The sequence below is a fragment of the Homo sapiens genome, chromosome 6 (genome assembly GCF_000001405.40).
Source record: "Homo sapiens chromosome 6, GRCh38.p14 Primary Assembly".
Taxonomy (NCBI): Eukaryota; Metazoa; Chordata; class Mammalia; order Primates; family Hominidae; genus Homo; species Homo sapiens.
The window spans coordinates 67,216,262-67,235,718 of NC_000006.12; positions in this window are offsets into that span (position 1 = coordinate 67,216,262).

Below are 19,457 nucleotides of genomic sequence, written 5' to 3' on the forward strand. Positions count from 1 at the left end.
ACCAGGCCTGCCCTAAAAGAGCTCCCGAAGGAAGCACTAAACATGGAAAGGAACAACCGGTACCAGCTGCTGCAAAATCATGCCAAAATGTAAAGACCATCGAGACTAGGAAGAAACTGCATCAACTAATGAGCAAAATAACCAGCTAACATCATAATGACAGGATCAAATTCACACATAACAATATTAACTTTAAATGTAAATGGACTAAATGCTCCAGTTAAAAGACACAGACTGGCAAATTAGATAAAGAGTCAAGACCCATCAGTGTGCTGTATTCAGTAAACCCATCTCACGTGCAGAGACACACATAGGCTCAAAATAAAAGGATGGCGGAAGATCTACCAAGCAAATGGAAAACAAAAAAAGGGAGGGGTTGCAATCCTAGTCTCTGATAAAACAGACTTTAAACCAACAAAGATCAAAAGAGACAAAGAACGCCATTACATAATGGTAAAGGGATCAATTCAACAAGAAGAGCTAACTATCCTAAATATATATGCACCCAATACAGGAGCACCCAGATTCATAAAGCAAGTCCTAAGTGACCTACAAAGAGACTTAGACTCCCACACATTAATAATGGGAGACTTTAACACCCCACTGTCAACATTAGACAGATCAATGAGACAGAAAGTTAACAAGGATACCCAGGAATTGAACTCAGCTCTGCACCAAGCAGACCTAATAGACATCTACAGAACTCTCCACCCCAAATCAACAGAATATACATTTTTTTTCAGCACCACACCTATTCCAAAATTGACCACATAGTTGGAAGTAAAGCTCTCCTCAGCAAATGTAAAAGAACAGAAATTATAACAAACTATCTCTCAGACCACAGTGCAATCAAACTAGAACTCAGGATTAAGAGTCTCACTCAAAACTGCTCAGCTACGTGGAAACTGAACAACCTGCTCCTGAATGAATACTGGGTACATAACGAAATGAAGGCAGAAATAAAGATGTTCTTTGAAACCAACAAGAACAAAGACACAACATACGAGAATCTCCGGGACACATTCAAAGCAGTGTGTAGATGGAAATTTATAGCACTAAATGCCCACAAGAGAAAGCAGGAAAGATCCAAAATTGACACCCTAACACCACAATTAAAAGAACTAGAAAAGCAAGAGCAAACTCATTCAAAAGCTAGCAGAAGGCAAGAAATAACTAAAATCAGAGCAGAACTGAAGGAAATAGAGACACAAAAAACCCTTCAAAAAATTAATGAATCCAGGAGTGGTTTTTTTGAAAGGATTAGCTTCTTATTAAACTAACTGTTTTATTTATTTTCTGTCATTAGGGCACTGATTTTTTTCACATGACCAAAAAAAGGTATATTAATTACCCTGGGCTTATTCCAGATATTAAAAAAAAAGCTTTCAAACTTTGACAACTTTTTCTTATATTTGCCCCAAAGTCTTTTTTGTGTCTGTTTGTAACGTGTTTTATCAAATTAAGTAAATTAATAATATGTTTATCTCCTTTAATTTACTAATGTGTTATGTAAATTAATTTTCTTATACTAATCCAACTTGGCATTCCTGAGTAAACTCAGTCATTAATTGAAAATCTACTATCTTAAATTGATTTTTTTCACCAATGTATTTGTGAACATAAAATTTTGTTGTATGAGGAAAATTTTCTGAAAATTCTTAATAGTATAATTCCTGGCATCAACAATATTTAATTTATGGTTCTACGTTATTTTTTCTAATAACTAAAAAATTTTGGGTTAAATGTAGAGAGATTATTTTTCCTTTTGTAGCTTCTTCTAGTGGTTATCCTTTCATGTAATCTCTCTACATTTCATTTTCACTACTAATTAAAGAAAATTCACTAGGGTAATAAGAGTAGGTGAGATAGAATGTGAAACTTTTAAATTTGGCTAATAATGTTCAGTTTTTGTTTTTCTTGGAAGTAAAAAATATTGTTCTTAGTGTGTTTCTGCTACCTTAAAGTAACTTAGTTCTTGTTTTATAATTTACATATTTGTTTGAATGTTCTTATTGAATAAATTGCATCAATTTCTTTAAAAATAATACTCATTAAGATTTATAATACTATAAAAGGATACATAATAATTAATGTCCATCTGCCATTCTATCAATATATATCTAGATATTTGTCTATTTACAAATCTACCTATGTATAGACATTAATTATTAACATTATTAATGTTTAGACCCTGCCAAAATAAATGCATTTTTTCTTTACATAAGTATGTATTTATATCAAAGCTTATTATATTCACATCTGTAGTTTGCATAATCAAGCATATGCATGAATGCACATACATCACTTTAAAAATATGTTCTCCTATTAACAGAAAAGAATAATCATCACACTATCAATTAGGTGTCGCAATCTCTTCCAAATTTGAGGTTAATTATTTGTGGCAAGACATGATGCTCAATAAATCTTTACAGAATGAAGAAATTAATATTCTACTTCATTGAAATTTTTTGCACCAATTGAGAAACTATAATTGTTACAAAAGAATTTAAACTGTAAATACAGCACCATTATAAAATCAGATATATCTTAGTTATATTAAGATATATTATTTATTTAACTTATTTAAAAACTTATTTATGTTTTGTCTGTTGTTAAATATGTTTTCATGATAATGGTACTTTATTAAGATTTTTTATATGATAAAATAAAAACTATAATTTTACTATTTTTGACAAAGATACTTTTGCATTGTAAATGAAATTTTAAACATTTAGTGCATAGATAAGTAGACTGCTTATGTAAAAAAAATCAGTGGAATCTACAAAAATACTAGAATTAATAAGGAATTTAGAAAATAACAGCAAACTAAGTGAATAAACAAAATTCAACTGTATTTCTATATAATAGCTATGAAAAACTGGAAAATCAAATTGCAAAAGCAATTATATTCAAAATAGCATAAGAGTAGAGCCAAGATATCTGTCTAGATGCAGCCAGGAATAGCTCCTCCCACTGAGAGACCAGACTATCAAGAAGACGGGTACACTTGTAGCAGATCTTCAGAAGGAAGACATTTAGAGTGTACAGAGAGAGGATGCCGAATCTGGGCTGAGTGGGGTGGATCGTAAGAAGCCTGCACCTTGTTGCTGAGGACGAGGATTTGTTTCTTGTCCTAAGTGGCTCCTGGAGAAGGAATGAGTTAAATAGGCATGGAATGGCCCACTCTCACCATGGATCTCCAGAATCCTAGCAGCAGGAGTCCCCACAACCCCAATGGACATTTGAGCAGGCAGAGAAAACTGCTTGGAATGTTGGCAGAGAAAGGACTCCAGGCTGTGCAGATCCCAGAGGGTTAGGTACCAGAACAGCTGCAATAAAGAATGGCCAAGGAAACCCATCTCCCAAGGCTTGCCACACTCCTCTAGATGGCTTTAGCCTTTGTTGGCTGTTGTATCTGAACAGTACAAGGGTATCTTGCCTGTGGGATGGGGCCAGGCTGATCTGAGTACCCCCATCATTTTCTGGCCTCTCTTAGGATTCCTGTCTGGCTGCATCCAATTTTAGTACAGCCTCAGATGCCCAACTGCGGCACTTCCCAGCAGCTACCAACATAGCTTTTACACCGGTTACCGGTTTTACCCTACAAAACCATCAGACTGCTTTTGCAGACAGGCCTGTACTGGCATGTACATGTCCACAGCTTTGCCCCATCACTTTGCTGACATGTAATCAACTGAAGCCTGCCCCCACTCCTTTCCTGGCACACATGAATGCATGAATCTCACTGCCCTTCTACCACTGGTATTTGTACATATAAGCAGACCTCACTGCTGCAACCTCTCCATCATATGCACATGTGGACTCCACCATGGCTGGCACTCATATGGACCCTGACATGCCACTGCTACTGGCACACATATATGTGTACAGATTCCAGAACACTGCCAACCTGCTGCTTCCTGCCAGTGAAGACCCTGCTGCCACTGCCTCAGTAGAGCACTATTGCCAGCATCATCCCCCCAGGTCACCCAATTTGAGTGTTATCACCAGTGAACCAGGAACACCTCGGGCTTCACTGTGTAGCAGGTGTTTAAGCACAAGGAGCAATAAAACAAAGCCATGGACCTAATCACAGCACCCTAAGTTAGGGTACACATCCCAGGAGTGCTGAGCTAAGCCTATGACAGTAAAATTATCCAGAAATGAAGCTGCATTAGTCCGTTTTCATGCTGCTGATAAAGATATACATGAGACTGGGCAATTTACCAAAGAAAGAGGTGTACTGATCTTATAGTTCCACATGGCCGGGGAGGCCTCACAATCATGGTGGAAGACAGGAGAAGCAAGCCACATCTTACATGGATGACAGCAGGCAAAGAGATTGTACAGGGAAGCTCCCATTTTTAAAACCATCAGATCTCATGAGACTCATTTACTATCAAGAGAACAGTGCAGGAAAGGCCCATCCCTATAATTCAATCACCTCCAACTAGGTTCCTCCCATGACATGTGGGAATTATGGGAGTCACAATTCAAGATGAGATTGAGGTGGCAACACAGCAAAACCATATCAAAAGCCATTCAACCAACCCAACTTATATCTTTTATATTCTTTGCTGCCCTCAAGGTTTTGACTTATATCAGTCAAATCCTCGACGGCAGCAAAGAATATAAAATAACAAACTCCATCCAAAGGACAGCAACTTCAAACATTAAAGGAACATCAACCCACACAGATGAGAAAGGACCAGCACAAGAACTGTGACAACTCAGAAAGCCAGAGTTTCTTCTTACTTCCAAACGACCACATTAGCTTCCCAGGAATAGTTCTTAACCAGACTGAAATAGCTAAAATGACAGACATAGAACTCAGACTTTTTACGGCAATGAAGACCATTAAGATTCAGGAGAAAGTGCAAACCTATCCCAAGGAATCTAAGGAATACAGTAAAATGATTCAAGAGCTGAAAGATGAAATATACATTAAAAACACCTGATTTTTTAGAGCGAAAAATTCATTTTAAGAGTTGTATAGTGCCACCAGAAGTATTAACAGCAGAATAAATTAAGCTAAAGACAGAATCTCACAGCTCAAAGGCTGGTTCTTCAAATCAATTCAGTCATACAAAAATAAAGCAAAAAGAATAAAAATGAATGACTAAAGTCTCTGAGAAATTTGGGATTACGTAAGGAGATCAAGATTAGTGAGTCATTGGCATGTCTGAAAGAGAGGCAGATAGAGTAAGGAACTTGGAAAACATGTTTGCAAATATTGTCCATGAAGATTTTCCCAACATTGCTAGAGAGGGCTAGATTGAAATTCAAGAAATTTAGAGAAGCCCTGCAAAAAATAGTACAAGAGGACCATCCGTATGACACATACACATCAGATTCTCCAAGGTCAACGCAAAAGAAAAAAATATTAGAAATAGCTAGAGATAAGGGGCAGGTCACCTTACAAAGGGAACCCCACCAGGCTAACAGTGGAATTTTCAGAAGAAATTCTAGAAGCCAGAAGGGATTAGGGGCAGTTATTCAGTATTCTTAAAGAAAATGAATTCCAACCAAGAATTTCATAATCTGACAAACTAAGCTTCATAAGTGTAAAAGAAATAAAATTCTTTTAGACAAGCAAATACTAAGGGAAGTTTGTACCACCAGACCCATACAATAGGTCATTAAGGGAGTGCCAAACTTGGAAATGAAATAATATTATGAACTACCACATAAAGAGTTAAGTACATAGACCATGGGTACTATACAGTAAGTACACAGTCAACTCTACATAATAACCAGCTAATACAATTACAGGATCAAATTCACAATTTATCAATATGAATCTTAAATGTGAATGGGATAAACACTCCATTTAAAAGCCACAGAGTGACACATTAGTTTTAGAAGCAAGACCCAACTTTGTCCTGTCTTCAAGAGACCCATCTCACATGCAAGGTCACTCACAGACTTAAAGTAAAAGCATAGAGCAAAATCTATCAAACAAACAAAAAATAACGAAAAGCAGGGGTTGCTATTCTAATTTTAGCCAAAACATATTAAACCAACAATGATTAAAAAGGACAAAGAAGGACATTACCTGATAAAGTGTTCAATTCAACAAGAAAATTTAAGTTTCTTAAATGTATATGCATACAACAATGGAGCAACCAGATCCATAAATCAAGTTCTTACAGACCTATAAAGAGATTTAGATAACCACATGATAATAGTGGGAGGCTTCAACACCTCACTGATAGTATTCAAGAGATTGTTGATGCAGAAAAGTAACAAAGACATTTGGGACCTAAATTTAACACAACAAATGTACTAACAGATAGCTGCAGGACACTCCACCCAAAAACAACAGCATATGTGCTATTCTCATCAACACATGGCATATACTCTGTTAATCATAAAGCATAAAGTAATTTTCAATAAATTTAAAATGACTGAAATAATATCAACTACAATCTCAATCTTAGAGCACAGCAGAAAATAAAGATGGAAATCAATTCCAGAAATATCTTTCAAAACCATACAGTTACATGGAAATTAAACAACCCAATCTTGATTGATTTTGGGGTAAACATTAAGATTAAGGCAGCAATCAAGAAATTCTTTGAAACTATGAAAACAAAGATACAACCTACCAGAATCTTTGAGACACAACTAAAGCACTGATAAGATGTAAGTTTTTAGCACTAAATATCTGCATTAACATTAAAAAAAAGTTAGAAAGATCACAAATTAACAACCTAACATCACATCTAGAGGAAATAGAAAAGCAAAAAACAACCTCAAAGCTAGAAGAAGAAAAGAAATAGCCCAAGCCAGGGCTGAATTGAACAAAATTGAGATGTAAAAAAAGACACAAAAGATTAAAGAAACTAAAAGTTGGCTTTTGGAAAAATAAATAAAACAGACAGACTCCTAGCTAGACTAACAATGGCAAAAAAGAGAGAAGATCCAAATAAACATAATCAGAAATGATAAAGGGGGCATTAACACTGAAGGCATAGAAATACAGAAAACCCTCAGAGGCTATGACCATCTCTGTGCACACAAACTAGAAAACCTAGAAGAAATGGATGAGTACCTGGAAACATACATCCTCCAAAGACTGAACCAGGAAGTTGAAATATTAGACCAATAACAAGTTCAGATTTTGAAACAATGAGAAAAAATCTTACCAAACAGAAAAAGCCCCGGACCACATGTATTCACAGCCAAATTCTACCAGATGTATAAAGAAGAGCTGGTATCAGTCTTACTGAAAATATTTCAAAAGATTCAGATGGAGGGATTCCTCCCTCATTCATTGTATGAACCTGGCCTCATTTTGATACCAAAACCTGGTAAAGACACAATGAAAAAGGAAAACTTCCATCCAAAATCCCTGATGAACACAGAGGCAAAAATCCTCAACAAAATGCTAGCAAACCAAATCCAGCAAGCAGCACAACAATAAGTCAATCAACAACAATCAAGTAGGCTTTGTTCTTGAGATGCAAGGTTGGTTCAACATAGGTGAATCAATAGATTTCTTTGACTACTTAAGCTAAAGTAAAAACAAAAACACATGATCATCTCAATAGATGCAGAAGATGCTTCCAATAAAATCAACACCCCTTCATATTAAAAACCCTCAACAAACTAGGAATCAATGGAACATACATCAAAACAATAAGAACCATCTATGTCAAACCCACAGCCAACATCATACTATATGGGCAAAAGCTGGCAGCATTTCTCTAGAGAACTGGGACAAGACAAAGAGGCCCACTCTCAGTCTCACAACTCCTATTCAATACAGTTCTGAAAGTCCTAGCCAGAACAATCAGGTGAGAGAATGAAATAAACCACATTCAAATAGAAAGAGAGTAAGTCAAATTATCTCTTCACAGAATATGTGATTCTATTCCCAGAAATATAAATTTCAGAAGAATTTATTCTATTTCCGTGAAAAATATCATTGGTAGTTTGGTAAGAATAGTGTTGAATCTGCAAATTGCTCTGGGGAGTACGGCCATTTAAAAAGTTTAAGTGCAAAATCCTTTATGTTTAGCAGAACATGTGAGTGTTCACTGTATTGATAGGTAGTGATTAGTCATGATGACCTACAGAGGGTTTTCGGAAACAAAGTGGAATCAGAAAGCGTCCACAGGGAGAAAAAGTTATAGTCCATTGTGAAATATTAAAGCCTGATTAATAATGTATGGAGAATTTCCCCTATAAGGAGAGATGGAGCTCAGGTAGGATGAGAAGGGTGTCCCTGTGAGGTAGTTGAAGGTATAGAATAGAATAAATTGAAGAGAAATAAGGCCACAGGTATAAAGTCAATTGCTTTTCAGTCAGAATACAAATTTAACTCAATAGAAGAACTCTTTTTAACAAATTGTGATGAAATTTATGTGTACCCAATGCCAAAATGTACCATTTAACCCCTATATCAAATGAAACAAAAAACATTGAAGTAAATAATAGATCTAAATTTAAAACAGTACATTACAAGATTTCTAAAGATAGTATAAATGCCTGCGTAATTTTGAGGTGGGCAGTGTCTGTAGATGCAACACCAAATCAATGATAATAAAGAATACAAAATTACAAGTTGGATTTTATCAAAGTTAAATATTTTTTCTCTATATAGATAATAAATAAGGAAGCCCCAGATTATAGATAATATAGTCTTATTATAAATATCTAATAAATCTATATAGAACTTATTATTCAAGAATTAAAATGCCAGAAAAAAATGGGCAACAGAGTTAAACAGATATTTCACAACAACATGAAGAAGAATGGCCAACACACACAAAAAATGTAATCTACATAATTAGCCTTAAGGAAAATGCAAGTTAAAACCATATTTCACAACCACTACAATGGCTAAAATAAAAAATAAATAAATAAGACAGACAACATCAAGTTTAGGAAGCATGAAAACGCTCAAATATTTCTGATGGAAGTATAAAATAGAAAAATCACTTTGGCAAACTGTTGAACAGATTTTTGTATAGTTCAAGATGCATCTACTCTGTAACTCAGTAATTATTATTCTAGGTGTTTATCCAAGAAGAAGGAAAACTAGTGTTCATAGATAAAAATTCTTGCTCAATAGTATTTATAGTAGTCTTATTTATAATAACCTAAAAATGAAAATGACCCAAATATCCACAAACAAGAATGAATTAACAAATGGTGGTATATTCATACAATGGAATGCTAATCAGTGATAAAAATTAAGGAACTACTATTACACAGAATAATATATGGATTAATTATGAGAACACATTGAGAGAAAAAAGCCAAATACAAAAGAATGCATACTGTATAGTATTATTTATAAGAAATTCAACAACATAAAACACTATCTTTGGTACAAATAAATGAGAATGGTGGTTAGCCTTTTGGTCTTTATATAAGAGAGAGCATTATGAGTGAAATATCATGAGTGATGAAGATGTTCTTCATATTCTAGATGCTAGTTTTATGCACATATTTTTAAATTAATGGTGTTGCATGCTATCTAAAAATATCTTAGCCTTCCTCAAAGCTGCAGTTTCTTTCTCTTTCTCTTTTGTCCTAAAAGCATCATGTTTTAGCTTTCGTGGAAAAAAATATTTTTGACTGTGCCATGAAATAGTTAATATTTATGTTTTTTCTGATAATATTCAGTTACTCCACCCCAATTTTGTGAGAATATCTTACTTTGTCCACTGAACTGAATTAGTGCCTTGCTTGAAAATCAAATGCCCATGTATTTGTGAATCTGTTTCTATACACTGTTTTAGGCTAACACTACTATTCCAGTAGTTCTATCTCAATTATTGTAATTCTATAGTAAGTCTTAGAGTCTACCAGTATAAATTTTCTGCTTTTCAAGATTTTCTTGGTTACTTTAGACTATTTGTATTTTCATATACATTGTAGGATTACTTTGTCAATTAATATAAATAACATTTGAAATTGTTATTAGGACTATATTAAATATATATTAATTTGGTAAGAATTTAAGTCTTAAAATATTGCCTTTACCAATTCTGTCCCATGGTTTCTCCTATGTGATCCCCGGTCCCTCACTTCTTCTATAGCTTCATAGAATTGATTTAGCTCCTTTTTTTTTTTTTCGCTTTTTTACATTTGTGAAGTACATTAGTTTCCTATTGCTGCCATAGCAAACCACAATTCTAGTGGCTTAAAACAGCACAAATATATTATCTCTCAGTTTTGAAAGTCAAAAATCTCAAAATGGTTTCTGTCTCTTCCCTTTACCTTTGTTTCTGTCATCATTATATGCCCTTCTCCAACTCTGAATTTTCTGCATCCATCTTATAAGGATCTTTGCAATTATATTGACTATAGCCAGATAATTCAGGTTAATCTCCCCGCCTCAGGGTCCTTAATTTAATAACACCTAGGAAGTCCATTTTTCCATCTGAAGTAACAGACACACAGGTTTGGGGAATCAGAATGTGAACATTTCTGCAGGAGTGAAGAGACATTGTTTTGCCTACCACACTGTTTTAGCAGAAAATGTGTGACTGAAATGATTTAAAAAATGATCCACATAATACAGGAGTCACAAGTTGTCTTAGGGAGTTTCAACTATCCTAAAAAATAATGAGTCACAATTCAAAAGTTTTAATAAAGAGAATGTCATAATTGTACATGCATTTCAGAGAGATCACTTCATTCCAGTGTGACAAATAAACTGGACAGAGAAAGATTATAGGAAAAGGAGCAATTATAGAAGACTATTTTAGTGATTTAGTTAAAGATATTCTTTTGTTTTTACATTAGTGGCAATGCTGATAAAGAAAATGGACAGAATAAAGACATTGAAGAGGCTGAATGAAAGGTCTTGGTATGTCTTAGCTTGTGGGTGTTTAATTTAAATTCTGCTCACATTTTTTGTATAAGCTGAGTGATTTCGCTTTCAGATGCACAGCTTGAGAACAGCCTACTTCCCTGGTACACAAAACATTCATTTAATTTGAGAAAAATCTTTATTCTTATTGTTTGATTATTTGATATTATGAATCAGAAGAGTAAAAATGTTTAAAAATAAGCTACAATTATCTATATATGAATTTTGGGGTGTCACTTCTATCTTCTCACTCAATTTTAAAAACAGCATCGAATCAACAATTCCTAAATCCTGACACATACGTCTCACTCATTATTTTATGAGTGGCAAACTTTATATAGAAGAATAGACAATGAGATTATGACTCAGTATGTGGACATTAAAGAAGAACCTGAGGGTTTCTATTTTTTTCTTCTTTAGAATGGTAGCTTTAACTGTTTTTTAGAAACTGAACATTTTTAATTTCTTTCTCTTATTTGGGTAGTTACTGGAAACCCAAGAATTGATTTTAGCAGTAAGTTCACTTTTAGTGCTCGTTTTGTTTTTAAGATTCTTTCATTATTATTATTATTATTGTGTGTGTGTTTTCCCATAGATATTTTAGTGTAAATTTAAGAAAAGTGGCAATAGGGGCTGTGGCTAGGTGTTATCTTAAAGGAGAAATGTCTAGTCTGTTTTTGTGTCAGGTAGAACATTATATAACCTTTAGAAGGTATGTGTTCATTTGCATCAGAAACTCCTTGTAGAAGCAATTCTTTATAACATGTCACCATGTGATAGTTCTTATGGGAAGGCCACAGTTTTTGTCCCCAGGGCTCTCAGAAATGAAATCTGTCAATTTTTCTCTTGACTGACATTAAATTTCCATGTTCCTCAGTCTTAAAATTAAGGTTTAATAACTCCCTCTTGGCAGCAGCTAAACTAGGGATTCCAAGGTACTTAGAGAAATCTCAAATTGTTCACTATGTATCCAATCTTCAATAAGGCAAAATGCCACCTTTTTTAAATTAAGGCCTTGCAATCTCCCTGAGTAGCATGGGAATCATCTAGCTATGCAAATTGTAGTCTACTCATGTCTATATAAGAGTTGCCTAGAGGAGAGATGAGGCATGATATGGGCACAAATATCATGCTAAGAAAGGTAAGAAAAGAAGGCAACACTGAGAATTTTGCTTTAATACTATTTTTATACTTATCAATTTTGTCCCCACATATTTCCTTTGTTGTAATTTGTTTAGTAAAAATATGAAAAAGAAGACTGTTTGTATAAAATGATTTCAAAGTACAAACAACATTTAAGTGCCTATATCATTTAGAGGTCCATGCATAAGTTATAGAAACATTCTGCTTTCACTTTCTTTTAGAATAAACTGTCATTTTTATTTCGTTAAAAGTTAAGAAAACATATTGTTGCACAACAGTGATGAATAAATGCCAAAACTCGTTTATTTTCTCATAGAGCATAATGTAATTTGATTTTTGGAAATTTTTAGCAAATTTATGCACTTGGTCCTGCAAGTGTTGCATTGCTCCAATTGATGGTGTGTTAATGCCATAATCACCACAATTGATAAACTTGATATCAATTGTAATGACTGCATTTTTTGTTTGTGATTTTATTTAGATGTTTTCTCTTTTTCATTTTTTTTTTTTTGACAGAGTCTCACTCTATGGCCCAGACTTGAGTGCAAGTGGCATGATGTAGGCTCTCTGCAATATCCACCTCCCAGGTTCAAGCGATTCTCGTGCCTCAGCCTCCCAAGAATCCGGGATTGCAGGCATGAGCCACCACACTCTCTTTTGCTCTTTAGCTAAAAGTTTGTTGATTTTGTTTATCTTTTCAAAACACAACTTTTTGTTATGTTCATTGTTTGTATTTTTTAGTCTAGATTTCATTTATTTTTGTTCTGATATTTAATTTTTTTTCCTTTTACTAATTTTGAGTTTGTTTTGTTCTTGCTTTTCTACTTCTTTGAAGTATATAATTAGGTTATTTGAAGTAGTTCTTTTTATGTCAGTGCTTATTGCTATAAACATCTCTCTTAGTATTGCTTTTGTTGTATACCATAGATATTTGTATGTTGTGTTTCCATTTTTATTTGTTTCAAGAATTTGTTTAAAATTCCATCTCAATTTCTTCTTTGCCCCACCAACTTTTTGAGCACATAGTATTTAATTTCTATTACCTGACTTCAAAATATACTACAAAGCTATAGTAACCAAGATAGCATGGTACTGGCAAAAGAACAGACATATGCAACAATAGAAAATACAGAAATAAATCCGAACTCATTTTTGACAAAGGTACCAAGAACATACATTGAGGAAAGGACTGCCTCATCAGTAAATGGTGCTGGAAAAACTAGATATTAATATGCAGAAGAAGAAAACTAGGCCCCCATCTTTCACCATATACAAAAATTAAAACAACATTAATTAAAGACTTAAACATAAAAAATCTGAAACTGTGAAACTACTAGAATAAAATATTGGGGAATCATTTTAGGACATTGGTCTAGGCAAAGATTTCTTGAGTAAGACCTCAAAAGCACAGGCAACAAAAGAAAAATATGACAAATGAGATTATATTAAGCCAAAAAGCTTCACAGCAAAGGAAACAATCAACAAAGTGAAGAGTCAGCCTAAAGAAAGGGAGATAATATTTGCAGACAATCCATCCAACACTGGATTAATAACCAGAATGTATAAGGAGCTCAAATAACTCAATAGCAAAAAAGCAAATAATCCAATTAAAAATAGGCAAATAGTCTGAATAGATATTCTCAAAACAAGATATCCAATGGCCAACAGGTATATGCAAAAATGTTCAACACTTACTAATAAACAGGGAAATGCAAATTAAAACCTCAGTGAGATATTATCTCACCCCAGTTAAATCGATTATTATCAGAAAGACAGAAAATAACAGATGCTAGTGAAGATTCAGAAAAAGGGAAATGTTCGTACACTGTTTTGGGGAATGCAAATTAATACAGCCACTATGGAAAACAGTATGGAGGAACCTCAAAAAAGTAAAGATAGAACTGTCATATGATACAGCAATCCCACTGCTATTTATATACCCAGAAGAAAGAAAATCAGATATCAAAGTGCTCTCTGTATTCACATGTCTATTGTAGCAATATTCACAATAGCCAAATTGTGGAATCCATCTCAGTGTCTATCAACAAAAGAATGGATGGAGAAATTTGGTATGTACACATCATGGAATAATATTCGGCCATAAGAATGTATGAAATCCTGTCATTTGTAGCATCATGGATGGAACTGGAAGACGTGATGTTAAGTGAAATAAACCAGGAACAGAAAGACAGTATTGCATTATCTTACTCATAGGTGAGAGCTACAAAAATTGATCTAATGTAAATAGAATAGTGGTTACCAGAAAGCAGAAAATGTATTGGAAAAGAAGGGGAGAATAAAAAGAGGGTTAAAAAATACAGTTAGATAAAAAAAAAATAAGTTCTAGTGTTCAATTGCACAACAGGGCAACTATAGTGAACAATAATTTATTGTATATTTCAAAACAGCTAAAATATAATATTTGGAATATTCCTAAAACCAATGTTTGAGGTGATGGGTATCCCAACTACGCTGATTTGTTAATTACACATTGTATGCTTGTATAAAAGTATCACATGTACCCCATAAATATGTACAGGTGTTACGTTTCTATTTCAAAAATAAACTTGATGAAAGGGAATAATATTAGCAAATAAAAGATTATTTTGCTAACATAAAACTAATCTAATAGGTTCTGATAAAGATAAGTTTACCAGCACTTTCAGGTTTTTCATATGAGCCTTGAGGTTATTTCCGTTATTTTTCATACTTACTCGTTGAATGAAGGTTCTGTCTCTCAAAATATGACTTTAAGGTAGACTAATAATACTAATTATATCACACATAGCTAAACTATAACTTCAAAATACTCATTGTTATTGTTTTAACCTATGGCTAATAATTGAAATTGTCTATATAAGATATTTGATATGGTTTGGCTCTGTGTCCCACCCAAATATCATCTTGAATTGTAATCCCCATAATCCCCACCTGTTGAGAGAGAGACCAGGTGGGAGGTGATTGGATTGTGGAGGCAGTTGTCCCCATGCTGTTCTCATGAAAGTGAGTGACTTCTCAGGAGATCTGATGGTTTGATAAGTGTTTGACAGTTCCTCTTTTAGACACTTTCTCTTTCCTACTCTTGTGAAGAAGGTGCCTGCTTCCCTTTCCGCCATAAATGTAAGTGTCCTGAGGCCTCCCCAGCCATGTGGAAATGTGAATCCATTAAGCCTCTTTTCTTTATGAATTACCCAGGCTCACAGAAGTTCTTTAGGGTGGTGTGAAAATGTACTAACACAATCTTCATAATATATTCTGTACTTAGATTCTCCTATTATTTCCCATCCTATATTTAAATGTAGAGGCTCTACCTAAGTCCTATGAGTTATCCCTCATTTTTCTTTATAGAATTAGAAAATAACTTCTATGAAATGAACCATGCCTGTAGAATCATGAGATAATAAGTAAAAATTAGGTAAATCTTAGAATAATGAAGATAATTTTTAAAAGGTGTACAATTGTATCATGAGGATAATAGCAGGTAGAATGTGAGAAGGCTTTTCTTATTGGAGTACCAAGTGTTCTTTTGGTAATAACTCCAAATTTAAATTTGAATAACATATTTAATTTAAATAAATTCTATGCATTTTTTAGTCTATTTTAATGTAGTTTTCAACACAAATTATTAACTTACTCATATACTTTTGCTTACTTTATGAACTGCCAATTTTATATTTCGCTGTTTTCCTCAATTAAATTCTTCATACACTTCACAACTCAGTTGACTTTTACATTAATGAAAATCTTTTTCTCAGAAAACAGAATGCAAGCAAATTTAAAGTGGTAAAATAATTTCATTTCTCCCATTTATTTTGTATCCTTTAATCCTATTTTCTGTTTTGGGATTCCTCTACACAAATTTTTTCAGCCTTTGCTAAAATAAAATAGAAAACTACATGAAGCACACGTTCAACTAACAGCTATTTGTTGATCGATTGATTATTAGATTGACTGAGTCATTCATTCTTATTTAAAAGTACCATGTCGAATGCATTTTCTTACTGTCATGAGCCATTTAACTAATTAGGGTAATATTTATATTATCTAAATCTTAGCTATAAAAGAAATACTAGAATATTAATTAGTATACCTGTGTTTTAGTTTTGGTCAATTATCAATTTTTACAAATTATTAAATATTTCTGGAAGGAGGTTACTCATCTGTAAGATTATATGGGTATAGTAAATGATCTCAAGTTTTTGGGTTGTTTTATCATAAAATTATGTTAATTTTTACTTTGCAAGCATGTTTATCTTAATTAACTATAATGCCTCACATTACACATATAAATTTCATGAATGTCACTACGATACATAGATTTTCCTAGATCTCAGAAATTAATGAAATATTTATTATGAAAATCAGAGTAATATTTTATTCTTTATTGGGTACCTTTATTCTTTATTGGGTACCTATTAGCTTTCTATCACTGAAGGGATGTGTATATATATGTGTATATATATCTTTATATATATATTTCAATATATAATATATATCTTTATATACAATATATATTATATATTATATATATTATATTATATTAATATATATAATATATATAATATATAATATATATAATATATAATATAATATATATTATATATATAATATATAATATATATATTATATATAATATATATAAATATAATATATATTATATATATTTATATATATAAAATATATGATATATAATGTATAATATATCATATATAATGTATAATGTATGATATATAGTGTATAATATATACTATATATTATGCATAATATATACTATATATTATGCATAATGTATACTATATATTATGCATAATGTATGCTATATATTATGCATAATGTATACTATATATTATGTATAATGTATACTATATATTATGTATAATGTATACTATATATTATGTATAATGTATAATATATTTATGTATAATATATATTATGTATAATATATAATATCTGTATATATAATATGTAATATATATTTATGTCAATTTATATTATAAATATAATATAATTCATATATTATATATTATTAATATGATATAATTTATATATAATATATTATTTTATTATTAATATATTATTTTATTATTAGTATATAGAGATATATTATTATATATTATATATAAATATATATATAAAACAATTTTTTATCATTTGAGAAAAATGAGGTGTAAGAAAATTGTGCTATTTGTCCTTTGATAAGGAAGCTAGTAAATCTTGAAGTCATATTTGCATCCTTAACTGCCATGATATATTGTTTTCCAAAACTGAGGAAGAGAAAACAAGCACATTTATTGATATAGCACAAATGTTGACTGATAGTGTTCTTTATGATCAAATATCTGGTCTTCAGTTTTCTTAAGAACTCAATATTTTCCTATAAATAGTATAACATTCTAAGATTTCTTTCCCTAAATTTTGAGCTATCATTAATAAAAGTGACTTGTTAACTATTGTTATGTCAAATGTAAATGGATGCATATTAATTTAAAAATTTAGATGCCTTGTTAAAAATATTACTTATAGCTGAGTTGCTCTATGAATCAATCTAATTGGACTTAACAGAAGTAGATAATTTTAATTGAAAAAAATGACTAGAATAGTTTTGAAACATCATTATTAATGTCAGGTATACGTAGAAAGTGTATTTAACATTGATATCTCACTTCTAAGAGATAATGTTTTAAATATTAAAATGAAAATTGCTTTGTGTAGCTTTTTAAAACAATTATTTTAAAGAATCTTTCAACTTTATTATTTATTTTGTACAGTGTTGAGTCTGCTCTTCATCTGAATTATCCAAAAAATAATTATATGTATTTGTTATTCTAGTTTGAAATGAATAAATTTATAGCTTACTTGTCATTATCATTGATGAGAATTTCTATATTGATAACTTATTATTGTGATTTAAAATAAGAAAAATAAAATTTTATCCAAAATATTTATCAATGAATCTTTTACTGACAAACATTACAAAGATGAGTAATTATATTATGTGTTTTAAAAATTCAACTTATCTCTCCACAAACTGAAATTTTTAAAAATATGGTCACACTTATAATTGTCTAATATAACTTCAATTGACTTGATTATTATTAAAAGTTAAATTTATTTTTTTAAGAAATGTGTAAATAATTGCTAACTGTTTCTTCGCTTTCTAATGAATAATTTTACCAACTTCCATAAACTTCAGTTGTTCTATGTAATTATAAAATGTGATATCTGGGCCCCCAGAAAATAATCATATTTTTACTTTAAACATTAATATTTAAAATGTTTATATGCTCTAGTAGTCTTATTAAAAAAAGAAAGCCACTCCAACATTTTAAGTGTACAAACAACTGAAACAGAATGTTTACATTTCTTAAAGATTATAAGTCATAATATATTACAAATGTAAAATTGTGCCTTTGTCACATGTGACTCCTATAGCCATATATGACATATGTTTGGATCTAAAGTGCAAAAATATAATTTGGAATATCAATGAATATCAAATGTATGATAGCATTAGAATTTATTTGGAATTTGGAAGAGTTCATTCCCCATCTCAACAATATGTAATAAACATAATTGTTTATAAATAATGTTTTTTTCAGAATTTTTTTTACTCCAAATACTTTATATATAGATATAATACGATTTAGTTAACTAATTATTGATTTACTTGTATTGTACAATCTTTCTTTTGCATTACATAAAATAATACCATGTTGAATATCATTTACTTAAGTCTATGTTTATCTTCTGTATCTTTCTTAGGATAACTCAAAAGACATGAATTTTAGGTCAAGTATATATATATATATATTTGACAAAATATATACATATCTGACAAAATATGTGTATATTTGACACACACATATACATATTTGACATATATATGTGTGTGTGTATATATATATATATATATATTTAAGGCTTTTAGGACACATTATTGAGTTGTCTTGAGAAATGTGCCAATGTCTTTTTTTCAGAGCAACAAATTTTCTTTAATCTGCTCTTAGCCTACTGCCTAGTTCTCCAAATCTTTCCTATATCTTGTTCACATTACTGGCCTTCTTTTAGTCCATTTGACATATTAGGCTCTTGTTTATTTTCCAGACTAGGTCTATCTACATTTGCCATTCTCACTACATGCAGTGCCACTAACCACTCCCTCTCTAATCCCTGCTCTTTATACAGATATTTATTTAAATGTACATTCCAAGAAAAGCCTTTGCTGGTATCTCAAGTCCTGACGTTACATAGTATTGTCGAACTCTGTGTTTATCTGTAGCACTTCACTTGATTTCTAAATATGTATAAATAAAAAGGTTTCAATAGCATTAGATGTCTGTGTTTGATATAATCAGATACCTTATCAGACTCTGTTGATGATTGTATGATTTTTCTTCTCAGATGTAAAACCCCTGGGTTTGTCTTATTAGTTGATTTAGCAAATAAAATAAGTAACTAGCCAAAATGTACCATTCTTCAAGTCTAA